Source organism: Homo sapiens, chromosome 10, assembly GCF_000001405.40.
Source record: "Homo sapiens chromosome 10, GRCh38.p14 Primary Assembly".
In the NCBI taxonomy this organism is placed as follows: Eukaryota; Metazoa; Chordata; class Mammalia; order Primates; family Hominidae; genus Homo; species Homo sapiens.
Genome location: NC_000010.11, coordinates 63,065,749 through 63,070,838, shown reverse-complemented (window position 1 = coordinate 63,070,838; position 5,090 = coordinate 63,065,749). Strand labels below are relative to the sequence as shown.

General features: G+C 40.4%; 2 annotated features.

Moving 5' to 3' along the window:
* Positions 1,641–1,810: an enhancer, noted in NCBI's record as "experimental_14056 CRE fragment used in MPRA reporter constructs". NCBI's record gives its function as "activates a minimal promoter by MPRAs in K562 erythroleukemia cells, with activity observed for the non-introgressed 10:64828874 or rs112603038 variant allele {active_cell/tissue: K562}" and the evidence as "EXISTENCE:reporter gene assay evidence [ECO:0000049][PMID:34662402]".
* Position 1,725: a transcriptional cis regulatory region, noted in NCBI's record as "Neanderthal adaptively introgressed variant 10:64828874 (GRCh37/hg19 assembly coordinates) or rs112603038 in the experimental_14056 CRE". NCBI's record gives its function as "modulates activity of the experimental_14056 enhancer by MPRAs in K562 erythroleukemia cells {active_cell/tissue: K562}" and the evidence as "EXISTENCE:reporter gene assay evidence [ECO:0000049][PMID:34662402]".

Here is a 5,090-nt window from a genome sequence, read left to right as displayed (position 1 = left end):
TCTAAAAACGTACATCTACTTTAAAAACACAAATATCTCCTTTAGCATTGTTGTAAGCAGCAATAAGCATGGAATCACATACATATGTTATATACTTATGCATATTTTTCTAATACACTTTCAGATAAATATGTAACTACTACAAAATCATTTGTGAAGTACCTAAAATTTATTTGAGTACCCCATTTTAGGAAAACTACAGTAAGGTTGGCCTTTGGAGGACATGACATGCTTGGTCAAGAACACTATCCCATGTCAATGTGAGAAGGGTAAAACCAGTTGATTTAGGTTGTTCTAACATGAGACTCAATATCTCATTCATCTTATGAAAAAGAAGAAGGAAAGAGAGGAGGAGAAGGAGGAGGTGGGGAGAAGTTTGGTAATTAGGATGCTAGATGATTGTAAAATATGAACATGGACTTGAGTGATGAGGCTCAGGTAAAAAGCATTTTTTTTTTTTGAAATGGAGTCTCATTCTGATGCCCAGACTGGAGTGCAATGGTGCAGTCTTGGCTCACTGCAACCTCTGCCTCCTGGGTTCAAGCGATTCTCTCACCTCAGTCTCCCAAGTAGCTGGAATTACAGGCGCTTGCCACCACGCCCAGCTAATGTTTTGTATTTTTGGTAGAAACGGGGTTTCACGGTATTGGCCAGGCTTGTCTCAAACTCCTGACCTCAAGTGATCCACCCGCCTCAGCCTCCCAAAGTTCTGGGATTACATGTGTGAGCCATCATGCCCAGCCGGTAAAAAGCATTTTTGATTATTACATGGACAAATACTTCAGCTCATGGCACCAATCCTAACCAACCATTTTCTGAGTCTACAGAAGTGTATTAGGCAGACCAGGATAAGCAATCCTGAAGTAACATGAATGCTTGAAGCCCCTGTGGCTAAACATGCAACAGTTTTCTTCTCACTCACACAAAGCCTGCTGTGGGTTGAGTGGGTTCTCTGAGGTATCTTCCGTTCCCAAGGTGACTCAGATATCCAATCCCACCACCTCGGCACATGGCTGCCAGAGTTGCCCGAGCCAAGGAAGAGCACCTGGAGAGTCTCACGGGGCTTTTTGCTGCCCGAGACCCAGATGACCTACGTGGGTTACATGTTCCTGCCTGGCAGCAAGAGTGGCTGGGGTATGTTTTCCTCAGGGAGTTCAGGAAAATGAGGAGAAAGGGGTATGGATGAGCACTGGAAGTCTCAGTAAGAAAAACACAACATCTGGAAGCTGACAGTTTGTATTTCCACTCACCAGTTATGTGTTTTTTCATATGTGACACCGGCATACAGATGCCCACTTTGTGACTTTGTTGTGAGATTAGATAAGATAATGCACATAAATGCCTCATGCTTTACTGCCTCTATCTAATTAACCTGGACAAAAAGAGTGTGGTGTGATGGAGATTTGAAGATTGCTTCAGGGTGCTGTGTGCTCAATTAGGACTTCATTTCAAGCCCTAGGGTGAGCCTGCTGCTATTTGACCTGCCTTCTACAGAAGCAGTGTGTCTGTCTGTGAGTACCTGTCACCAGCAAATGATAGTTCCTGTTTCTTTCCCTCTTGGCAAGACTGAAAAGTCAGTATTAGGTTTTAAGTTCTATTTAAAATATAACAACAACTTGGCCAGGCACGGTGGCTCATGCCTGTAATCCCACTCTTTGGGAGGCAGAGGCAGGCAGATTACCTGAGGTCAGGAGTTCAAGACCAGCCTGGCCAACACAGTGAAACCCCGTCTCTACAAAAAATACAAAAATTAGCTGGGCATGGTGGCGTGCACCTGTAGTCCCAGCTACTCAGGAAGCTGGGGCAAGAGAACTGCTTGAACCTGGGAGGCAGAGGCTGCAGTGAGCCAAGACAGTGCCACTGCACTCTAGCCTGGGTGACAGAGCGAGACTCTGTCTCAAAAAAAAAAACTATATACGTGTATATAGATATATATAGATATCTATATCTATATATAGTGTGTGTGTGTATTTATAAACAACTTAAAATAAATTGTGATTAAAAAACACATAACATAACTGAGCGTAATGGCTCATGCCTGTAATCCCAGCACTTTGGGAGGCCGAGGCAGGTGGATTACATGAGGTCAGGAGTTTGAGACCAGCCTGGCCAACATGGTGAAACCCTGTCTCTACTAAAAACACAAAAATTAGCCAGACATGGTGGCACACACCTGTAATCCCAGCTACTCAGGAGACTGAGGGAGGAGAATCTCTTGAACCCAGGGGATGGAGTGATCTCAGCATTGAGCTGAGATCGCATCACTGCGCTCCAGCCTGGGCGACAGAGCAAGACTCTGCCTCAAGAATAAAAACAAAAACAAAAGCAAACAACAAACCACATAACGTAACATTTACTCTCATAACCGTTTTTAAACTGTGCAGTTCAGCAGTGGGAGGTATATTCACATTGTTTCGCAACAAACCTCCAGAACTTTTTCATCATGCAAAACTGAAACTCTATACCCATTGAACAACACCTCCCATTTCCTCCTCCCCCAGCCCCTGGCAACCACATTCCATTTTCTTCTGTTTCTAGAAATTTGACTATTTTAGATGCCTCGTATAAATGGAATAACAATAGCTTTTAGGTAAAAACCATGATAGGAAAAACAAACCCCCATAGATAATGAATGGGCCCCTCTATCACTGCAAATAAAATTTTTGAAACCAAGAAAGGGAATTATGAGATCTGTGACATCAATAGACTTGATGGATCTCACATCTCCTCTGGTGGCCGTAAAGCAATTAAAAAACACAACTGTGGAAGTTGAGATACTTATATTTCCTCATAAAATTCACTTCTTGTGCTTAATCTGTTACTCTCAGTAGTGAAGTTTCAGAATCATCAATATGACAGTACAGCAATATTGCCTCATCAGTCATGATTTACTTAATGTTTTCTGAATTTAGTAATATTTGATTAAAATTTAATGCGAACATATCATATCATGCCATATATATTATTGCATCCATTAATCAGGTAACTATAGTAATGAAATGCCGGAAGGTTGGCTGAAAAAGGAGCCAGTCTTGATATATGTTTGACATAATTCTGTGAGTGATTAACCAAAAAAAAAAAGTCAGTCATTCAAAGGTTCATTAATATATATTACTTTTACAATCATCTATGTGTCATCAGATATTTTTAACCTTTGTTAAGCTTGATTTTTAATTTACTGAAAGACACTAAATATTAATAACCATGAAAAATATACATTATTCTGTTGAATCACAAGTTGACAGAATGATTCATAGTTTATTCTAATCTTTTTTGTATAATGATGTGTATTAAAACATTATCTAAGTTATTTAATCAGTTTGTCATGTGGGAAATAGCATATATTTAACATATGGCTGTGAAAGATACTAATTTAAATACCACATCATATTTCTATTATTTTCAACTTCCATGTCATTGGCCATAGCAGGTAATCAGTGTGATGGTGCACAATTTACGTCTGACACAGGCTGATTTTTGTATGCAAATGTTCTTTTTTTCCTATTAAAACACTGAATTAGTCATACCTTGTTTCTTTTAATATTGTCATTTTAATCAGCTAACTAATGAGGGACAACTGGTATTAAACACTTATCTGCCGTGTTCATCAAAATAGTTAAGAAGAGGCACATTTGGAGAAATAATTGAAAATAATAAAAAGTTGAGTCAACTGCAAGGCAGTTTAATTTTGACTTGATAGAGGAATGTTGATTATTTCACCACAATTATCCTCCTAGTTGTTCCCTCTTTTAGCTTCAGTTGAATTGTGCTTCATTCACTCATTCATTCATTAAATTTTTCATTGAACCCTTCTCATGACAGGCATTGTGCTAGGTTCTGGGATAGAGAAATGAAATGACATGGCTCCTGGTTTCTCTTAGCTTACAATCTAGTGATGATCAGACGCTTACACAAATGCAAGCAGAGATGAGCTCCAACATGGAGTCTGGGCAAAGCACAGTGAGGCACAGAGAGGAGTGTCAAAGTCAGCCTGAGAGTGACTGGAAAGACTCCGCAGGGGCTGACGCTGACTTGAATGGAGACTCGAAGTGTGAATAACAGTTTCCCAGACAGACAACTATGGAGGTGGGAGTATTGGTGACAGGTGAGGATGGTATTCTAGAAAGAACCAACAGCATATGCAAAGGCTCAGAGGCTTATAAAGCAAGTTCCGGAAGAAGAGAAATTCACTCCTATCTCTATCTAGTGGATATGTACTAAAAAGTGTGGTGTGATAGAGATGTCAAGATTGCCTCAGGGTGCTGCATGCTGAACTATGACTTCACTCCAAGCCCAAGGGTAAGGCTGTTGATGTTTGACCTGCCATGGAGAGGAGTGGTTTTCTAACTGGAGGCTTATAGGAGAAGACAAGGATGGGGAGAACGGGTCGGGGTGATGCACAGGTGGCTCCTACTGTAACAAATGCCTGAACCATGCCTTGGAGAATTATATCTTCTTGTCAAACACTCCCCAGAACTAACCAAAAATAATTAGCTTCAATTTTTCCCATAAATTTTCAAACATAATATTGTAGACTGAATCAGGAAGCCTAGGTATACCGTACTTTGAAGCTATATTCATATTAGTGGGGAAAGCATCATAAGAAAGTAGACATTAAGAAGGGATTTGAAGAAAACGGGCAATTGGACTCAGGGTGTTGGAAATGGAATAATTTCTATGATAAGATTGTTGCAGGATTTGAAGGTAATGAAGTTAGGACAAAAGGAAAGTGATACCCGGAAGGAAAGATCAAACCTGCCTGTCATATGTATCCGAAATGCTTGACCCTGTTCTTGGGTGTGGGAAGTTGCTCCCAGTTGGAAATAAATGCTGTTTATGGATGGATGAGTCCAGTCCATGGTGAGGTCAAACATCATTTTCAGTGACTTGTTGCAACATTCATGATTAATGTTGATTTATTACTTGATCATTGTGTTATGTAAATAGGCGGCATCTTTTTTGTGTGTGTCTTGGTGTGATGCTGGTTTAATTGAGTTTGGGGATGGGGGGAGGAGGTGGGAGGTTCCAGGGTTAATACTGTTAGCATCTTCCTCAGTAGCAAACTCTTCTCATGATGGATGAAACAGTAG